Source organism: Homo sapiens, chromosome 6, assembly GCF_000001405.40.
Source record: "Homo sapiens chromosome 6, GRCh38.p14 Primary Assembly".
Lineage (NCBI taxonomy): Eukaryota > Metazoa > Chordata > Mammalia > Primates > Hominidae > Homo > Homo sapiens.
The window spans coordinates 63,267,259-63,289,390 of NC_000006.12; the positions used below are offsets into that span (position 1 = coordinate 63,267,259).

At 38.4% G+C, this 22,132-nt stretch overlaps 1 protein-coding gene across 5 annotated transcripts in view, besides 1 other annotated feature; it reads right to left on the bottom strand.

Annotated features, from left to right (window-relative positions):
* Window positions 2,443-2,492: a silencer, noted in NCBI's record as "silent region_17307". NCBI's record gives its function as "represses an Ori minimal core promoter by ATAC-STARR-seq in GM12878 lymphoblastoid cells {active_cell/tissue: GM12878}" and the evidence as "EXISTENCE:reporter gene assay evidence [ECO:0000049][PMID:35858748]".
* The window catches only part of LGSN (lengsin, lens protein with glutamine synthetase domain), a 297,657-nt gene continuing 284,217 nt past the window's right edge, over window positions 8,693-22,132 (bottom strand). For 4 of the 5 annotated variants that reach the window (XM_047418866.1, XM_017010930.3, XM_011535892.4 and 1 more), the window contains 2 exons: window positions 18,329-18,495; window positions 8,693-13,962 (listed from right to left, as the gene is read on the bottom strand). In XM_047418866.1, the coding sequence (XP_047274822.1) occupies window positions 12,763-13,962; window positions 18,329-18,495 (1,367 nt within the window). In that variant the 3' untranslated portion in view covers window positions 8,693-12,762. The remainder of the gene's footprint in view (window positions 13,963-18,328; window positions 18,496-22,132) is intronic. The other variant, NM_001143940.2, reaches the window with a different exon arrangement.

Sequence of the window (22,132 nt, forward strand, 5' to 3'; positions counted from 1 at the left end):
TGTAGCCCCCAACTAAAGAGGTCTCAAACTGTGTGGGCGTGGTAAAGAGAAATACATGTCTTCTCTCGTCACAAAAGATTAAAAATTCTGAAGGTCATTTGCAAATACTTAATTCCTGCTTCCTTCTCCAACTGGAATAGTTAAAAAAACAAACAAAAAAAATTTTTTTTTAATTTAAATGCATGCTTAACAAATATCAGGTACTATTTTAGTAGTTCTGCATGCATTAACTGATTTAATCCTCACGTTGACTTTCGAAGTTTTATTGCGACCCTCATTTTACCAATGCAGAAGCTGAGCACAGAAGGTTAAAAAAAAAAAAAAAAAAACTACCCAAAGACTCAAGAGATAGTAAGTGGTAGAGCTGAGCCTCCAACAAAACTACCCAAAGACTCAAGAGATAATAAGTGGTAGAGCTGAGCCTCAAACTCAGATAGTCTAATTCCAGAGACTACACCATGTAAGACTCCACACTCAACTTCCCCAATAAGCCTAGTGACTATACTTTTTCAGGTTGTACAGTTGTTTGTGTTTCTTTGTAGAGATTTAGATCTATTACAGATAAATACATTATTTCCTTCTATCCCATTACTCTCTCTGTGTGTGTGTGTGTGTGTGTGTGTGTGAATCTGATGTGAATAATGCATTTCAGAATTCTTTACAGTACTGTGGGCAAATGCAATGTGTAAAATGTCCTTTCCTGTTGTAAGTACATATCCTGAAATAGCTGTTTCTGTCCTATGAAAATCTGCACTTATTATTAACAAGAATAAAGAGGTGTTGCATAACTCCAACTAGTATCAAACAAAAACCATGTGATCTCTTGACATTGCAAGAATTTTCCCTCTTGGGAATATCAGATAGCTCAAAAAGGTTAAACGTGCTGCCAAAATTATATTCTTAAAAATATCCCAAACCATATAAGACAGAAGCCATTCAATCAGAAACTATTCTGTATGGAATCTCTCTCCTTCCTAAAAGAAATAAGTGATGAAGTGAAATGAGATCATTCACATGTCAAGAAGGTATTAACTGTCTTAGCTGCAATCTTGATTAATAGTCATCACATTGGACCTAATAGCACAGTGGATAACATACTTTTTTAAGCATGTAAAAGCCTTCCTCAGATATTAAGAAGATATTCTAGGTATGAGAACAGCTGTTTGGCTTCTGTAGCAGTTTAGAATAGCAAATGTTAGCTCCAAGGGCACACGAAACTATAAGCATAGAAGTGGCATCTTGAAAGCAGCAAAAACCTCTGTGGATTTTTTTTCCCCTCAGATTCAGGGCTTATGGAAACCTCTGTGAACTACTGGACAGGTCTTGATCTTGCAGAACAGTGCTTCTCAAACTTAAGCATTCAGAGAATATGCCTAGAGCCCTTGTGAAAATACACATTTCTGAGCCTGTCAGTTTGCATTTCTAAAAAGCTCAGAGCTAATGCTTCTGCTGCTACAAGGACCCCAGTTTAAGTCACTTTGAACAGTGCTATTTCAGGGCATCCTGTAACCACTGTGAATCCTGAAACTGCCTCACTTTTTTCACTATTCTATTCTTTTCTCTCATACCAGTGAGACAGAGAAACAGCTCTGGCAACCATAAGGTCACTGTGCAGCATAGGGCTTCTCTAACTGGGAACGTGAGCATGAATATCAAGTATTTCTGAAACGGGGGAACCATTCTATCCCACCTTCTCCATGAGCTTCAATGAGGCAGGTGGCCTTGCCAATTGAATTCTTGGTTGTTGTTTCATTCTATGAAGAGAAGCCATGAGGATTTGTAGTACATGTAGGGTCTAATTCAAATGCTCTTTGCAGATTTCAGTCAAGACATTTCTTTATTCTCCACTTGGCTTTAGGCTTCTGTTAATCTAACCCATAGCATAGTTTTCAGTTGAAGTGTTGAGTAGTTAAATCATACAATCACTCAGTGTCACATCTTAAGAGGGATGTCCAAAGAAGCTTAATATAATACATTTGTGAAGCTTCTTAGCAATAGGATCTGACTTTGTATGTAGTATTTTTATGTAAAAAAAAAAAAGGAAAACAATTAGTGTAACAGATTTGTTGTTATAGGTAAAAAGGACATGCTCATTTAATGGATGGGGGAATTGTGGCTCTAAAAATTAGAATACTTTTTCAAGAACGTGTGTCAAGAACATTGAGAGACAGACAGCAGGCCTGCTGTGTGCCACAGTATGTGGAATGATGTGAAGCTGTAGCTGAAGCAAGCTGCCAAGCGGGCCTCCTAGGTCCATCATTGGATAAAGGACACAACTGAGGCTAGAACACCTACAGTGCCAGAAAGAATTGAAGTAGCACTGAGATGGCAGAAGAGAGGGAACTCGAGGATGCCCTCACCATGTGAAGAGAAGAGACTGCATGTCTCACTAGCCCTCCTAGCCTGAAACAATAGGCGGCAGCAGATGACTAATTACCAGGTGTGAGAAGGGACTTCTTCTAGAGGGAGGCCAGTGAAGACTCTAAAAATAGTAAAGAACCAATATGTAGATTTTTAGGCCAACAGAGTGAGGAAGAGGTGATAAATTAAACACCGATGTGTTGACTTTGAAATACCTGTGGGACATTTGAGTGGATGTACACTTTGAGAAACTAACTTGACAATCATTCGCTTATAAGTAAAAATTGAAGGTATAGGCTTTACTGTCAGCATCATTGGGTTTTTATGCCATCCCACCAGGACTTCCTTTGCCTGACCCATCCGTGTTATAATAGAGAGAAAAGCCATGTTCACACAATGTGACATGTCCCTTCCAGGCCACAGTTCACTGGATGAGGAGTCAGTGCATTGCCCACATTAAACTAATGAATTTAGAGTTTGGACTAGAATAGACTAGCTTCAAACAGGTTGCTTGTTCAACATAAAAGATGTAAATTTGGGAAGTTGTTTCAGCAGCCATTTGCCATCATGTCGAGAAAGAAACAGAGAAAGCCAGTCTAAAGCAGGAGTGAAAGGATGATGCTGGCATGAGGAGAAACACAACAGAGGTAAGAACAGATAGAAAAGATGTCCTGGGTTATCTACAGTGCTTCAGTTTCAGGTTAGATTCATTCCTAACACCTAGACACATTGAAGGTCTTAGAGTCCATGAGGCACTCTTCTATCTCAACCAAAAAAATTCCTTATTTTGTTTAATCAGGTTCAGTTTGATTTCCATTACTTTAAACCAAGAGTCTTGGCCAGGCACAGTGGCTCATGCCTGTAATCCCAGCACTTTGGGAGGCTGAGGCGGGTGGATCACTTGAGGCCAGGAGTTCAAGACCAGACTGGCCAACATGATGAAACCCTGTCTCTACTAAAAATACAAAAATTAGCCAGGCATGGTGGTGCGTGCCTGCCATCCCAGCTACTTGGTAGACTGAGGCAGGAGATTCATTTGAACCTGGGAGGCAGAGATTGCAGTGAGCCAAGATCGTGTCAGCCTGGGTGACAGAATGAGACTGTGTCTCAAAAATAAATAAATAAACAAATAAATAAATAAATGTCTTAATCCATGGAAAATAATAGTAATAATAAATAAGATGTTGTGGAGACAATTTTTAGAGGGAAGAAAGGACCAAGAATGGAAGGATCTTGAATAATATTCAACATCGAATTTCAGGCAGAAAAGAGGAATTCACAAGACATTGAAAAGCTGAGAAGTGGCCAGAGAAAGAACATCTAGAACCTCTAGTGCCTTTCAAGTCAAAAGAAAACCATTTTGACAAAGAGGTAGAGGTCAGCAATTTCAAATTCTGTTTACTCGTCATAAAACATGAATGAGAAATGTCCCCTGTATTTAACAAGTGGAAGGTTATGATTAACCTTGGTGAGAACAGTTGAAGGGGACTGGTGGAGGTAGAAACGAAAATATTTGGGGGCAGTGATGGGAAGCTATGAGGAGTAAATAGAGGAAGTAGAAAGAGCAAGGACATGTAACTTAATCAATAAATTTGATTTTAAAGACAAGGACAGAAGTGAGAAGGGTACTTCGGATTAATAGATTTTTTTCCGTGTGTATGTGTGTGTGTATGTGCGCGCGCGTGTGCATTATGCACCTTGCAACCATGTCAATGTGCTTAAATTCTGATGGGAAAGAAACACCAGGAGAGGAACATACTGGAGATACAGTAGAGATTGGGTACTCGCATGAGAAGGCCACAGGGGTGGGATCCTGCCAACAATGAGAGGCACCCCTTGCACTGAAAGTTAAGAGAAGGAAGAAAAGTGCTAAGTCTGAGATAAGACGCCTGTTCTTTGTCAGGGAATTAAGGAAGTGTGGCCACGGGACACAGCACTATTAGAGTTAGTTGTATCTGCCCTTTGCTAGCCACATTTCTTTTCCTTCTTCAAGTGCTGGGGACATGGGACCTTATAACCCTTGCCATCCAGTGAGAAAGGTAGTTGGAGCCAAAGAAGTCTGTGATCCAGCCCAAGACTTCGCATTGCTTGATCAATGGCATCCTCCTCTATGCTGTTTTGTTCTCTCCTCACCACATAAATTCTATCCTCCATCCATAGACATTTAGAAACATTTGTTCTCTCACTTAAAGTTAAAAGCTCTTTGTGGGAGAAAAACATGTATTGTCCAGTTTTGTATCTTCCCCTTCGTAACTTACATACAAATGGCTCTCAAAAGCAATTATTTCAAAAATTGAATAAAAATGCTACCTAGTGTCTAACTTAAACAACAATTCATTATCTAACAATCCTTTTTCACTTCAAACACTGAAGTATCATTTCTGTTTACCTCATAAAAAGTGAATTGATATATATGTTTTCTAGTGATCACAGAAAGAAGACACTTTGTAGCATTTATTTAATTTGTAGATATTGTAGAAGCTCTTATAATGTGATTCATTTTAATGAACCTCCAAATAAGTAACAAATTACTGGATTTTCTTTTTTTCATAGTTTATTAAAGATTTCTTCTTTAGTTCTTTTCAGACTTATTTATTTCAAATCTATTGTAGAGTCATCCAAAATTTAAGACATTTAGATTAATTTTAGGCATTACAGAATGCAGCTAATGTTTCTATGGTTTCATATTTCTACGTCTCTTGAATGTACCCTTAAATATTGGTAATATCGTATCCTGTCAACACTCCTTTCCCCCCCCCTCTGATATTGAGCCTGTATTTAATATCTATTAACCTAAAAATATTCAAATGCAAGTCATGTGATTGGGAATGCCTTTCTGCTGTTAGTATTTCTAATACATTTTTTCAATTTTCATTTATTCAAAGTAACTAGATTGAAAATCCAATTACTTTTATGTTTAATATTCAGCTTTGCTCTGAATTCTGAGCCAACACTGTTTAATGGTACGTTGCTGCCCTCTAGCTTATGTTTGAAAAGTTTTCTATAATGTAACAATTTATCCAGTAGTCTCTTGGATATGCCCAATACATTGATATTCATTTGTATTTAATGAATCCTATATTAGCAGTTTTATAAACATTAAATTTTTATAGTTATTAATTAAAGTGTTATTTTTCTTTCCAGGTAAAACTGATCTTATTAATCTTAGGAAACATCTTGAAGAGACAAGAAAACCTTTGTTATGTCATTGTGTAGCAGGTTCTCAGCCAATTTCTTTTTCCCTTAATTTACACATTTCGCCTCCATATAGGTTGGCTATTTTCAAAAATCAGTGTGTTTTCTTATCTTTTATTTCTTAAGCAGCCAGAGAGAAGTATCAACTCTTTTATGCTCTCAATGAATGCAGAGTTCTTGTCAAAGAATATTTCTAAAAATGAAACAAAATAAATTGATTGGCACTATTTCAAATTCTAAGGATGGTCAGAAATTTCAGCCAGGTGTTTTTTGTGTTCAAACAAATTAAGAAACTACTTAAGGCTTGAATTACTGTTATCTGACCAAAGTTCTGAAATAATGTTATGGCATCATACTTCTTTGTCATAAGACCTTCTGGCCTGGATAGAGTTATCAAGCATGTATCTACTACCTACTTCTGTTCATTTTAATGCCTAGAAGCCTTAAAACTAAAATGTAATATTCAGCAAAATTTTCAGTATTGTACTTAGCTGAGACTGTAGTGAAGGGCATTCTGGTGTAGCACAGAGACCATGAGACTGAAAGTAGAAACCTGGATTTGATTCCTAGTTCGTTCAACACAACAACTTTTTAGGGTCTTAAATCTCTTGTTTTTAAAAATAATAAGTCTACCTTTCTCATAAAATTGTAGACAGCATGAAATAAGGAAATGAATGAGAAAGTGCCCACACGATGTATGTTATGTACTAAGAGCTTAATAAACCTTTGTTTAATCCGTATCTAGTATAAACATTCAATTGTTCCTAGTCTTCTGATTAAGAGTAATTCTCTGCCTTTCTTTCTTCTTCTCTTTTATCAAAGTTTTCTTGCTCTTCGCGTGTCTTTTTATATACTGTTTTTCAGTCAGGCTTCTTTTTAAAAATTCTAGCTACTTTAAGAAAAAAAGAAATTTATTTAAAAAATATTAGATATTTAATAGAATCTCGGAGGGCCAGAAAATCAGGTTCAGAAGAACAGGCTTGACTGTTCCAGAGACCCGACAGCCACTGGCACTGGCAATAGCACCACCAATGCCCCCCCACAATGCCACCCCAGGATGGCACCCATGGATGCCTGTCGCTGCTGCCTCCCTCAAGCTCAGCAGAGTGGAGTCCATGTTTTATGACTGCATCTGATTGGCAGAGTCCTTGTACCATGGTGTGTCCGGAATTGGTGGGTTCTTGGTCTCACTGACTTCAAGAATGAAGCCCCGGACCCTCGCGGTGAGTGTTAACAGTTCTTAAAGGCGGCGTGTCCGGACTTGGTTCCTTCTGATGTTCGGAGTTTCTTTCTTCTGGTGGGTTCGTGGTCTCACGAGTGAAGCTGCGGACCTTCGCGGTGAGTGTTACAGCTCTTAAGGTGGCACGTCTGGAGATGTTCGTTCCTCCCAGTGGGTTCGTGGTCTCGTTGGCTTCAGAAGTGAAGCTGCAGACCTTCGCGGTGAGTGTTACAGCTCATAAAGGCAGTGTGGACCCAAAGAGTGAGGGCAGCAAGATTTATTGCAAAGAGCGAAGGAACAAACCTTCCACGGTGTGGAGGGAGACCCCAGCGGGTTGCCAGTGCTGCCTCAGGCAACCTGCTTTTATTCTCTTATCTGGCCCCACCCACATCTTAATGATTGGTAGAGCACAGTGGTCTGTTTTGACAGGGCGCTGACTGGTGCGTTTATAATCCCTGAGCTAGACACAAAGGTTCTCCACCTCCCCACCAGATTAGCTAGATACAGAGTGCCAATTGGTGCATTCACAAACCCTGAGCGAGACACAGGGTGCTGATTGGTGTGTTTACAAACCTTGAGCTAGATACAGAGTGCCAATTGGTGTATTTACAATCCCTGAGCTAGACACAAAGGTTCTCCACCTCCCTACCAGATTAGCTAGATACAGAGTGTCCACACAAAGGTTCTCCAAGTCCCCACCAGAGTAACTAGATCCAGAGTGTCGATTGGTGTATTCACAAACCCTGAGCTAGACACAGGGTGCTGATTGCTGTGTTTACAAACCTTGAGCTAGATACAAAGTGCCGATTCGTGTATTTACAATCCCTTAGCTAGATATAAAGGTTCTCCACGTCCCCACCAGACTCAGGAGCCCAGCTGGTTTCACCCAGCGGATCCCGCACCAGGGGCTGCAGGTGGAGCTGCCTGCCAGTCCTGTGCCACCAGCGGGCACTCCTCAGCCCTTGGGTGGTCCATGGGACTGGGCGCCTTGGAGCAGGGGGCGGCCCTCGTCTGGGAGGCTGGGGCCGCACAGGAGCCCACGGAGTAGGGGGAGGCTCGGGCATGGTGGGCTGCAGATCCGGAGCCCTGCCCCGAGGCAAGGCAGCTAAGGCCAGGCAAGAAATTGAGCACAGCAACTGCTGGCCCAGGTGCTAAGCCCCTCACTACCCCGGCCGATCGGTCGCTCCGAGTGCAGGGTCCTCCGAGCCCACTCCCACCCAGAACTCGCGCTGGCCCTCAAGCACCGCGCGCAGCCCGGGTTCCCGCCCGCGCCTCTCCCTCCACACCTCCCAGCAAGCTGAGGGAGCCGGCTCCGGCCTTGGCCAGCCCGGAAAGGGACTCCCACAGTGCAGCGGCGGGCTGAAGGGCTCCTCAAGTGCCGCCAAAGTGGGAGCCCAGGCAGAGGAGGCGCCGAGAGCAAGCGAGGGCTGTGAGGACTGCCAGCACGCTGTCACCTCTCAATGGCAGCAAGAGAAATTGGGAAGGTGAGGTTCTGACTTCTACTTTCTGAGACAAGAGCCCAAAGAAGAGGGATTCCACAAATCTAAGAGAGCTATTGAAAGGTTCCACATGGCTAAAAAGCATGACAACTTCACCTTGCTCTTTTTTGTTTTTGTTTTTATTGTTGTTGTTCTTTTGATCCCCATCAAGCTAATCAAATGGTGTTTACTCAGGAGTTTCTAGAAGCAGAAAACCTGAAGAAGTTCTAATGGCAGAAATTGCAGGATCAATAAAAAAACACAAACTGTTGGACTTCTCCACTGTCTCTATTCCTCCCTCTCTCTGGGTAGGTGAATTTGTGTGTTTTATACTGGACAAGCATAGTATTGTACTATGCTAATAACATATGCATTGATTGATTAAACATTAATTGAATTCCAGAACATATGCAAGGAACAAGAAGTATTAATGCAAATGTAAGTAAGATCTGTACCTTTTATTCTGAGAATTCACATCCTAATTAGCAATTAGGAAGTATCATGTAAACCCCTAATTATAGGCAGCATGAGAAGAGCTTTAACAGGGAAGGCACTGTGCACATAGGTAATGTTTAAAGACACAAATTCTTACCCCTGTCATAGAAAACCCAAGGTTAAAGGTATTGTCCAGTCATACCTATATCATAAACATATTGGTGAGTGTATTTTGTCAAACAGGTGACTGGAGATATGTCAATAGACTGTTCTGTTTTACTGATAAGCTCAGACTTCACTGTATGCTTTCAATTTTTATTCAGATTAAAGTTTTTTGATCTTTCATTGCCTTCAAATAATCATTTCAAGCGTTGTTGTTATTCACACACTGTAAAATGAAATTTTAGATTATAGAATGTCCTTGAAAATAGAAACTTGTTACTACAATACTAATGTTTTAATTTCTAGTCTTAAAATATTATCGCTTTTAATTTACATTTCTTATGTATACTCATTTAATTACCAACTTTAAATTCAGTAATCACATTTTTCCCCTAAGCTTTGATTAGAACAATTATAGTAAATGAAAATAAGAAAGCAATTTTTGTAAAGCTATTTATAAGGCACCCTTTTCGAGCCATAAAGAAGCTTTCCAAATAGCTTTTTTCAGCATTAGGTCTACAAAAAAAATTATTTATGTTCTGCTTAAGATACACAGATCCAAAACTCTTTCATTGTCTGCTCATCTTTGTTTTGGTCTCCCCTAGTATGATGGCTCCCAGCTGAAGGCTTAGCACACAAATGGTGCTCAATAAGTGCTGCTGAATGAATGTCTGACCCTCTTAACCCAGACCAAGAAGGTAGAAGCATCAGCAGAAAGTCCTTTCAACAATAGAAAGCCTATGAACAGATGAAAGAAATAGAAAAATAGATAACTGATTTTTACATGTACCTACCCCAATTTGTCTTTGGCCCTGAACTCTGCTGGCCAATGCCTCTTTTTGGGTTGCCTTAAAGAACAAGAATATACATCAGCACACACCTAACTGAAATCTTGGTGGAAACTGCCACACCAACTTACGTTATCAACTGATTTGTAATCTATGGCTGAATATTTTCTTTGACTCACGACTGTACACTTAATACTGAAGATAATATTCCTAGTTATATAATTCCTTCACATGGCATCCTGAGTACTGTGTTTTTAAGTTATGCTAATAATGCGAAAGGGGAAAAAACGGCTTCAAACACTGTGATTATCAGACTTTTTACAGCATCTTTACTCATTATGGTAAAATGAAGTCAATGCATTAGACATGTTTCATTAAGGCCCGTGGACTATAAAGGGATATGCCACTTTATAGGGATGGGTTAGAGCCAATCCCATTTTTTGGATGTGTGGATCCCTTTGATTAACTCAGATTATCCTCTCTAGAAGTGGGAATATTGAGGAAGTCGTCTTTCACTGGTTCTTATACCTTTGTTCTTTCATCCCCAAATCCCTCAAATTCCCCACTCATATGCACACACTCACACACAAACACACATACAACACACACATGGAAAAGAGAAAATAAATTTCATTGCAACTAACAAAGAATCAAAATCATTGTGGCTTAAAGAAGATAGAAGTTTGGTTCTCTCTCAGGTAAACATCTGGATGTAGGCAAGTCAAACTGCTCTACAAAGCAGAGATTCCACCTTATTACTGTACCCTGTGGAGCAAACCTCCCTTCCCAAGGACATAATCCTAGCCACATTATCTGTAGGCCACTCAGCAGGAAGGGTGAAGGCAGCAAGAGAAAGAAAGGGCAGAGCACACAGCATCCGTCATTTAAAAAAATGTTCTAAAGTGTGGTAGGGCATGGTGGCTCATGCCTGTAATCCTAGCACTTTGGGAGGCCAAGGCAGGCTGATCACCTGAGTTCAGGAGTTCAAGACCAGACTGGCCAATATGGTGAAACCCCATCTCTACTAAAAGGCCAGGCATGGTAGCAGGCACCTGGGATCCCAGCTACTTGGGAGGCTGAGGCAGGAGAATTACTTGAACCCAGGGGGCAGAGGTTGCAGTGAGCCAAGACCCCCCCACATTGCACTTCAGCCTGGGTGACAAAGCGAGACTCCATCTCGGAAAAAAAAAAAAAATACAAGAAAAGAAAAGAAAATGTCCTAAAGAACTTATATGCAACACTTCTACTTTCACCTCTTTGCACTGAACCTAATAACATGACCACATCCAACCTTAATGAAGGCTCAGAAATATCATTTCATTTTTCATTGCTTTCAAAGAACATATTGAGGTTTTATTACTGAGAACAGAGGGGAAAATGAACAGAGGGGAATTTTCTAGCAGACAGCTAGAAAATTGGCATGAGAGTCTTCCTTATCCCTCCCATGATGTAATGTGTGGGATTTCATTCTGGAGGTTTCAGGACAGGTTCCCTTCCTTCCCCCAGCTACCCTACACTATCTTTCTCTCTACCCCATATGCATCCATGAATTTTATTCTTCTCTTTTTTTTAAGACAGTGTCTCACTCTGTCACCCAAGCTGGAGTGCAGTGGTGTGATTATGGCTCACTGCAGCCTGAAACTCCCAGGCTCAAGCGATCCTCCCTTCTCAGCCTCCCACGTAGCTGGGACTACAGGCATGTGCCACCATGCGAGGCATTTTTTTTTTTTTTTTTGTAGAAACAGGGGTCTCACTATGTGGTCCAGGCTGGACTCAAACTCCTGGCCTCAAGCAATCCTCCTGCCTTGGCCTCCCAAAGTGCTGGGAACTTTCTTCTTATGTATCCAAACACACTTCTCCTGCTCAAAGGAAAAAAGAAGGGAGTAATTAGTGAAGGATAGACTGACTTTCACTATTTAAGCTACTGAGTAATATGAATTTTAATAAGAGGATCTGAGCCAAATTCTAATCCTCTGCTTGTGCAATTGCTATCTAAATTGAGACTACAGTCAGTTTTAATTGAACATAAAATCTGCTGTTTGATCCTAAGCAGTAGAATAATGTTTCATTTGCTAGTAAGTGGATTTTGGACTTCTTCCCAAAAGCAGCTAAACTTTTGTGATAGTTACAATATTATCTCATTCAAACAAAGGCCTGGAACAGGTAATATTCTCTGGGGAGGTACCAACCTCTGTGAGCAGCAGATTCAGTAATTTGAATAACAAACTTAAACTCCAAACATAGCCCTGGCTAGCCAGGCAGTTGTTCTCACACTCCACAGAGCACTAGAGGTTTCAGAGGAACATCTAGTTTCAAAGAATGAAGCAGAGTAGACAGAGCCCACCTACCCTCACACACAAACATCTTTCTATCTATACTTTGTGTATTGAACTTCTATATGAGGCATTGTTAAAAGAAAGGCTTTAACTACTTTTAAAATCTGACCTCGTTGTTCTCAGCTCCAATTCTATTCCTTAGGGATTTGTTTCTTGAGGACATTATAACCTTGAAGTTCATAAGCTTTTCAGGAGCTAGTGGAGAAGGGTGAAAAGAGAAGAGACTTAGGGGAAAACTGCCTACCTGTCATTATATTTTGGCAAAAGTTTATTTAACTTGTTTAGAAAGACCATAATGGTGCATACAACCTGGATTCACAATATTATTTGATTAGCGAGACTATATTAGTATATTTGTCTCCCTGGAAATCATAACCTATGTGTACCATTAAAATTTTTTCTCCTTTTCTTTTTTTTCTTTTTTAGTCATTTAAATTTTGCTTTCTAATGCTTAAGTCTTTTTTTTCTTAATGTGCGAATATATTTATTGCCACCCAAAATTGGATATTCTTATCCAGGTCAACATACACATAGGAAATGACTGACAAGATCTGGTAAGTTTGCATATTATAGCTTCACCACAACTTTGTTGTTTGTTTCTGTTATCAGAATCTTCTCAGCAGTCCTACTTCATCTGTCAAATATTCCATGGACAAAAAAAAAAGTCAAAAGCATTCGTAATCTTGTTATTGTTGCTGTTGTTAATTACAAAAGTTCAGTCTTTTTGTTTTGGTAGATTAGCTTTAAGTAACAATTACATGTCTAAAGGAGTAGTTGTGAGCTCTATTCTAAATAAAATACTCTAAGAATTTATTTCTCTCTGCAGCTATTTCTTCATTCTCCAACTCATATTTCTTCATGGCAACAAAATATCGAATAAAGGTTTCTCCTAGAGCCTGTCTCAGGCATTGATCTTCTTCCAGTGCCACAAGGGCATCTTCTAGTTTTAAAGGGATCTCAGAAGGTTCCACTTGGTAAAAGTCTGTGCTCTCATCTGGACCAGCCAAGACCTCATTACTGCTATGAAGTCCATCTAAGCCGGCAGCAACAGTTGCAGCCAGCACCAAGTAAGGGTTTGCTGTTGCTGAGCCTAGTTTATTTTCTATCCGGGTGCCTTTCTCTCCATGACATTTGATATTAAATATACAGCTGTTGTCATTGTATCCCCATGTTGTAGGCACACTCTTCTTCAGGTCTTTCCTGTCCTTGGAATAACGCTTTCGGCAGCTAACAGAAGGCGCCATCAGGCAGCTGAGCGCAGCAGAGTGCTTCAAGAGTCCTGCCAACCATTTTTTCCCAGTGATCGTGAGCTGCTCAGTTCCAGAAGTGCTGCAGAACATGTTTTTCTTCCTATCGACATCCCAGAGACTATGAGACAAAATCCCTGAATCACAAAATCCAGTCTCAATGAAGAAGCTGGCAATGTAATTATATTTCCTTGCCACTTCTTTGACACCTGTTCTGAGGGTAAATGCATTATCAGCTGAGCTAATGCCAAATTCAGGCAGGAAAGAGATTTCCATCTGACCAGGCCTGGTAGAGGAGGAAAAACTCTCGACATTGGCTCCAGTGTGATACAAGCCATCAACAAGTTCCTGCATGAAGGGCTGATCATGGTTATTTAAAAATGTTAAAGCAGGAAAAGATATAATCTTTGAATTTAAAATTTCGGGCACACCAAAAATGCAAAAATCATAGATGAAAGCAGAAAGCAGGGAAAAGCCAGAGGCCTGCAGATGGCTCAGCTGCCTCTTTGCAATGTACCTTGGGGAAGTCAAAAGAGGCTCACCAGTCACAGTGAAGGTATCACATATCACTCTTGCAGTTCTGTCAGCCCATGGCAAAACTCTAAAGGTTGATAACTCTGGCATTAGGACTATGTCGCTATTAAAACATGTGGCTCTTATGTTATTCATTTCATTGTCCTTTGGATTTGGTATCACTTCAAGATAACCTCGGGGCATGCAAACACCATGGCTCACTTTCTCCTAAAGAAGGAAAAAAATGAAGAAATTAGGTTTTGAAAACAAACAAAAGGGTCGGGGGGCGGCGGGAAAGCCTTGCTAATGAAAATATATATATATATATATATATATATAATAAATATATATATATATGTTTAACACTTGTTGGTTAACACTAACTTGATATCAGATAAATGTTAAACATTTTAAAATAAAACCCCCAAAGGCAACTTTATAAACAATGCATTGTTTTAAGCCTTGAAGGCCTTATATGCTCTTAGATCTGAAAATAGCAGTTATAAATGAAAGGTATAATGATAAAGAAAATCCGTTACAGCAAAAAACAAAGGAAAAGCCTTATGGAATTATTTGAAATTATCATCATCAAAAGTGCTTCCTGAAGTACAGTTGTTAATTCTTCAGATAAGGCTTTCTTTTTGCTTATTTTATTGTAATCCTGAGTTAACTGACCCTCAAAAGTCTACAGTAAACAATTCTCAATCCTTCTCAAATTGCAGACTATGGTCAGTACTGTGGCACACAGCACATTTGTCCTAACACCAGGGGAGCCAGGACGCTGACAGCTGCATTCCTCTCTTTATTCACTTTTACAACCCATTTAAGAATTAAAAACCTCACTGTCTCAGAGTCCCAGAACCCTTGTCCATGAATGTGGACCTATAACTCCAAAGTTATAGCTTCCAAAATGTTGTAGCCTTCAAGTCAGCATGAACTGGGTGTCAACAGATCTGCCTTCTCATCCTAGCTCTTTCGTTAATTGCTTTGGTGAATTTCGGCAAGTCATTGGATTATGTGCCCTCAGCTTCCACATCAGTAAAACAAGTGTTAGACTAGATGACTGCTAAGGTACTTTCTAGCCATCTATCTCTAGGGTTCAGTGAATTTGGTCATTTATTTAACTTTTGCTCTGTGCCAGGCAACAGGGAAGTGATAAGGTTATTAAGTTGAACAGACACATAAAACAATTTCTGGAAATTATGTATTAGAAATATCAACAAGGTTGAAGGTTACATTAATAGATGGAGAAAAATCACTGAGTATAAAAGGTTGGTTCCCATGAAGTCAGTGAAGATCATGAGGTTAATAAAACACTCTAACAATCTGCAAGCCAGACACTTTCCTTTTCTTTCTTTCTCTTTCTTTCTCTTTTTTTCCCCTTATAAACAACAGAAACTCATTCCTCTTTAGTTCTGGAGACTGAGAAGTGCGAGATAAAGGCAACAGCAGATTTGGTGTCTGGTGAGGGCTGCTTTCTGCTTCGTATATGGCTTCTTCTTGTGTATCCTTACATGGTGGAAGGAAGCCAGACTATTTCTTATGCTACCTCCAGACCCCAAGAAGCATGGCTATCAAAGAGGGGCTGGTATTAGCCAAAGTAATTTACTGGTTCACTCTTCCGCATTTGCCCATGAACCACTGCCTCCACTTTCCACCATCTCTACACATATTTTTGAATGCTATTTGACTGAACTGATCCAACTCCACTTTAACCAATAATAAAGTTGAGTGAGCCAAACACCATTTGGTGTCTGCCTAATTTTCCAGCTCACTCATGGACCTGTACATGTAAACTTTATACACACGCACACACACACACACGCTTACTGTGGGATATTAGAATATTATAGCATGGAATCCTTTAATTCATATTTTCACTATAAGCAATAATGTCATTTCCCTGCTTGTCAGTTTTTTAGTTTGAAATTCTGTATATTAGTTCTTTACATATCTAAAATGAGAAATAATATATTTTATTCATGAGACTTCTATGAATTCCTACAATTTAAATCTGTGTTTGTATTCACTTGGCTGTGAGTAGTAGAGAACAGCTGGTTGCCATTTCACTCCAATAGTCCTATATGAACTCAAACCATAGTAAAAAGTCACACTTTATTCTTTTGATTATTTAATTCATATTTTTTTGAACACTCTTTTCTGGCACTGTAATTTGCTTTATTCTTTTCTTGGACATAGAGAATGCAAACTACTCTCTATTAGTTACGGGAAGTATATGAATATATGTTAATATATTCATGATAATATATTGTCTTAAGTAGTGTTTATAGATATAAAGCACTGGAACAACTTCATCTTCAATATAGATCACTATGGACCCAATAAAATTTTTGCAGAATAACTTAAATCCTTATCACAAATGAAACTTGGACCATAGTAAAGGTCATCTTTTGAAATAAGCCAAGAATTAGTTATGAGTCCTGTAGCAATATATCATAATTTGGCTAGATCAGATACAGAAAAAGCCTACATTATTGCATATAATTTAAATAAAAATCTGCCCTTTTGATTGATAGAACAGAGATAATATAAGTTGGTTGTAAGACTTAAACCTTAAAACACCACACACACATGCAATGTTTAGGTTACTTTGCACAAATGAATCTTTTTTTTTTTTTTTTGAGATGGAATAAGGTACACACACACACACACGATATTTAGGTTACTTTGCACAGATGAATCTTTTTTTTATTTTTTATTTTTTGAGATGGAGTTTCACTCTTTTTGCCCAGGCTGGAGTGCAATGGCGCGATCTCGGCTCACTGCAACCTCCGCCTTCCGGGTTCAAGCGATTCTCCTGCCTCAGCTTCCCAAGTAGCTGGATTACAGGCCCCTGCCACCAGGCCCAGCTAATTTTTGTATTTTTAGTAGAGATGGGGTTTCACCATGTTGGCCAGGCTGGTCTCAAATTCCTGACCTCAGGTGATCCGTCGGCCTCAGCGTCCCAAAGTGCTGGGATTACAGGCATGAGCCACTGTGCCCGGCCTCTTAAACCTATTTTTAATGTCTATTCACAGCAAATTTTCCAAAATAAATTATTTTCTCTTAAATTACAAATATTAATTGTGCTAATACTCATTATTTATACCTTCACAAGTTTCAAAAATAAATTTAAAGTGGCTTCTTAAAAAAATATAGATACTCTATGATCATTAAATGAGAACAAAATAATAATAACTAGGTAATGAAATAGGGAAGTTAGTTATTAGGAAACTGGGACTAAGAATAAATATAGCCATTGAGAAGGTGTATAATGAGTTACATTAAAATTCTCATGATAAACTTTTTCTCTAGCTAAACTCAAGGAATAAAAGTGTTTTTTGTATGTGGGATATTGAACAAAATAATGAAAAATATTTTCAGTAGCAGTTGGATAAAAAAAAGTATGCAGAATTTTTCTCTTTATGTCAATTATATCAATCCTTAGCAAGTATAAGCAGCATACTGTTTTATTTTTGTAAAAGGATTCCACTGAGAAACTAGAGTAATGTCCTATATATGGACTTTTAGGTGCCATTAGTAAAATAAATGATTAAAATTTGACAAAAACTGAACAGCAAACAGTTTTACATTGAGCTCTGGCAAGTAGTTAAAGTGCCAGTTACTTTTCCTTATGATTGAAAGAGACTCATTTGAATTACATTCTGGGCTTGTCCACAAGAAAATCCTCATTTTTTATAAAAATTAAACAACATGTATTCTTGCCTGAATGACAAGGAAACAATATCTGCAAGCAGGTCCAAATAATTCCTTAAGAAACAAGTTTGAATCTGTTAGAATTATTTAAAAAGAGTTTTTGAAGATGTCCAGTTTTCCCCAACATGAAACAAATTTAAAAATTAGAATCTGATGTTAATGTGATAAAAGTGTAATATTTTTAAACAGTTAAACCTAGAGGATGCTTAACTTTCACACTTTCTTAAATAGTACCGACCTGATGTCCCTTGCTAAGAAATTTGATATTTAATTAACACAACAACTCAGTCATCAAAATAAACACATGACAAAAACTGATACAAAAAATTAAGGAAGTCTCAAAACAACAAAAACACAATATTTCTTGATATCATCATTTTTGGGAATTTAATAATATTCATTAAGTCATCCAACAACAATGGAATATTTTCTTATCAGAATTTGGAGCTGAAAGGAATACATTTTTTATCTAGCAAATATTTTCTATTTAATCATTTTTTCCTTTTTATGTTTGCTTTTGGGTCTTCTGTTGCAATTTTCTCATGTCAAATAAAATATAATCTTCATAATTGCAGTAAGGGAGAAAAAATAATTCTGTAGAGCAAAATTATTCAAGGCAGGACTAAAATTACCAGTCTCAATTAGTTTTGTATTTCTATTGGGTAAAGAAATTGCTGTTTGAGAGCTGAGAGTACATGTTTAGCTCCTTGGGGAGCAATAATGTGTTTGGGAGGAACAAGGGAAGAAACAAAATAAGTTATTGATTTTCAGCTTGAATTGCTGTATAAGATTACAAGAAAATAAGAAAGAGTAATAAGAACTGTTTGCTTGCTAATGGTCATGAAATTACATTTAGTCACAACTGTGTAAAACTCACTTGAAAAAAGTGTGCAGGGATAGTCTTAGACCTGGACACGCCGTGGAGGTCTGTTGCTTCAAATCGTACAAACTGGAGGCGATTTTTGGCCATGGCTTGTCTAATGTGTTTCATTCTAGAAGAGAGTTGAGGTGGGGTCAAAATTTGACTGCTGTCCCTCATGCAATCTGCAAAATAAAAAAATAGGTTCTAACTCACGAGATCATGATGGACTGAGAAGCAAAAGGAGACTGGAGACTAGTGAATTAGTCAATATTATTAACAAAAACATTATATATTCATCATGTCACTGGCTTAGAGTTGGATATCTTACCTTTCTTATTCTGCCTTTACCGTCTTCCCAAGAACACTGTGTCTAAACAACCTGAGAGATCATTTATCAGTTAGGACGAGGTCAAAATTGACATTATTTGCATAAGGATATAGCGATATCATACGTAGATACTTACTGAAAATCCCTTTGCTTATGGAAATTAGAACATATTTGCATAAGTTCACAGCAAAAAGGGACCATAAAAGCCTGTCTGTAGGTGACTATTATTAAACATATTTGGGCTTCTTGAACTAACTGTTAATTTCTAAATTTAAATTTCTATATGATTAAAAGTGAATTTGGTTTTATTTTCAGGGGTTTTGTCTCATTCTGGGAGTTTTTTGCCCAAAGGGCTTTATATCTTTTTAATGGCATCTAACTCTAAGAAATATACATATTTCTGTCAAATTTAAAACTTGCTTAAATAAGCAAACAAAAGTGTGGGTTTTTTTTAAGAATGAGAGTGTAGGAGATGAAAAGTCTGGACTGCATACTCAATTTAAAATTAGAAACATAAAAAACATTCTTTTCGAGACTTTTAAGATAGTTTGAAAATTCTAACTGTAGAGCTAGAAGAGAACTTTGGAGATAAATCATCTAATCTAACCAACTCGTTAGCTTGAGTCCCAAAGTGGTACAATGAGTTACTCCAAACCGCACCATCAGTCCACTGCAGAATTGAAACTAGAATGCAGACTTTTGATTCATGCTGGGTGGCTTATTACCACAAATTAAATTAATATGTCTAGAGCACATAGAATGGTCAGGCAAATAGTACACATTATAAATGTTAGTTGCTGTCAGAACTTTTAGGAGAGGCAGCAGAGTGTAGTTTGGGTTAGCACAAAACACTGAAGTCCATCTACCTCCCTTCCAATCCTGCCTTTGCCCTAGCAACAATCTTATCCTTTTTATGACTTGACTTTCTCATCAATAACATATGACCTACTTCATAGGCTTGTTATGAGGATTAACAAGTTATTAACAGTTATTGGCAGACAGTAAGCACCATGTAAGTGCTACTTAAATGCATAAAGTGAGTACAATTACTCTAGCCCAAGTAAATGTTATCATGATCAAGTCTGCATCCAAACACCCATCAATCTCTCACATCATTGATGTTGAGCAGCTATAATTTTAAAGTGATACCTGAGTATTCTTTTGCAAGATATAATTAGGCTTTAAAACTAAGCATAAAGATTGACAGTTTAGAAACATAGATTAAGTAGATTTTAAGTATGAAGCATGGGAAAAACAAATTACTGTTTCCACATATGCAAATATATTAGTGATAATGTGCTATCACTGATACATTTGGCTACTCTGAAACTCCGGAGGCTTTATAACTACCTTCCATTTAAAACAAACAATTAAACTGTAGCAATTAAAGTATTTCATGCTAAATTAACCTTGCTGTATTCCCAACCTACACTGAAATATTGGGTGTTCAGCCCAAGATGAAGAATGCTCCTTAAAACAAAATGTATAGGCATTTTAAAATATGGAAATTTGGGTCAGGCATGGTGGCTCACTCCTGTAATACCAGCAGGAGTGAGGTGGGCAGATCACTTGGGGCCAGGAGTTCAAGACCAGCCTGGGCCAGTTCAAGACCAGCCTGGGCAACATAGCAAAACCCCATTTCTACTAAAAATACAAAAATTTGCTGGGTGTGGTGTCATGCGCCTGTAGTCCCAGCTACTAAGGAGGCTGAAACACAAGAATCGCTTGAGCCTGGGAGGTAGAGGTTGCAGTGAGCAAAGATCGCGCCACTGCACTCCAGCCTATGCAACAAAGAGGGACTGTCTTAACCAATAATAATAATAATATGGAAATTTTTAGATAATGAGTATTCTAAACATAATAAGCAATTATACATAGGCTATAAAGAAGACATCTCCTATAAAAGGAGAAAGGGTAATTTTATTGGTTCACTAGTAATAGGATAACAGGTAGTCTTACTAGTTTTTTGCTTTATCTGTGTCTCCTAAACTTTCTACAATGAATACATATTATTTTAAAATAAGAATAATATTTGGCTGGGTGCAGTGGCTCAAGCCTGTAATCTCATCACTTTGGGAGGCCGAGGCAGGTGGATCACGAGGTCAGGAGTTCAAGACCAGCCTGACCTACATGGTGAAACCCCGTCTCTACAAAATGTTTTTAAAAAAACTAGCCAGGCATGGTGGCATTCACCTGTAATCCCAGCTACTCAGGAGGCTGAGGCAGGAGAATCTCTTGAGCCTGGGAGGTGGAAGTTGCAGCTCCACCAAGGAGCTGAGATGGTGCCATTGTACTCCAGCCTGGGTGACAGAGTGAGACTCCATCTCAAAAAAATAAATAAATAAATAAATAAATAAATAAATAAATAAATAATAATAATATTCATTCACTCATCATAGATATTTTTCATCATCACATACTATTCATACTGAACGTGTACCTAGGAATCAGCCAGAAAGAGCCCTACCCTCATAGAACTTTATATTATGATGTGGGGCAAGTATAGATAATAAACATGCCATCAAATACAAGGGTGGGATAAATTCACACAGTGAAAGGGCTGGAAAAAAAAAAAACCATAATCACCTGAAGTATTAATTGTATGAAACTTGATCACAACATGGACAGCTCTAACCCTTGATTAATTTTGAAGTCTCCAAGTTGCCCTGTGACTGGACAGTGAGTAGGGTACGTGTATTAGTTTGCTAAAGCTACTATGACAAATGCCCCAGACAGGCGGCTTACACAGAAATTTATTTTCTCATAGTTCTGAAGGCTAGAGGTCCGAAACCAAAGGTGTCAGCAGGATTGTTTCTTCTAAACTCTCTCTCCCCTTGGCTTCTAGACAGCCATCTTCTTCCAGCACCTTCACATGTTCTTTTCTCTGTGCATGTCTGTGGCCTAAACTCTTCTTCATATGAGGACATGAATCATAATGGATTAGGGGCCACCCTACTGACCTAAGTTAACCTTAATTACCTCTTTAAAGAACGTATCTCCAAATTCAGCCACACTATCAGGTACTGAAGGTTAGGATTTCATTTTAACAATTTTGGAGGAACACCATTCAACACATAACAGTGTATCATTCTGTTTCTGTTTTCTTCAGTGTCCAAATTGGCACCTGCCACACTGTATACTCACATGTTCCTGTCATTCTCCATTGCCTATCAGCTCCTTGAGCGCCAAGGCTTAGTTTTACCTGCTGCTGTTTTCTTGGTACTTGTAGCAGTATAGGCATCTCATAGTCACTCAACAAATATTTTTTAAATAAGTGAGTGAGTGAATGAATGAATACATCCTGTGTGATTTGACTTTGTCTAATTAATAAGTAAAAGTTGTCATCATATATTTTAGTACATATCCTAAGCATCGATTTTTCATTTAAAAGTTCAATTCTTTCACCAAATATGAGAACGCTATCCAATCCCATTTCATTTTCAAGGCATCAACTGATCTTGCTGCATCATTGTCGGAATTTATTTTCTTCA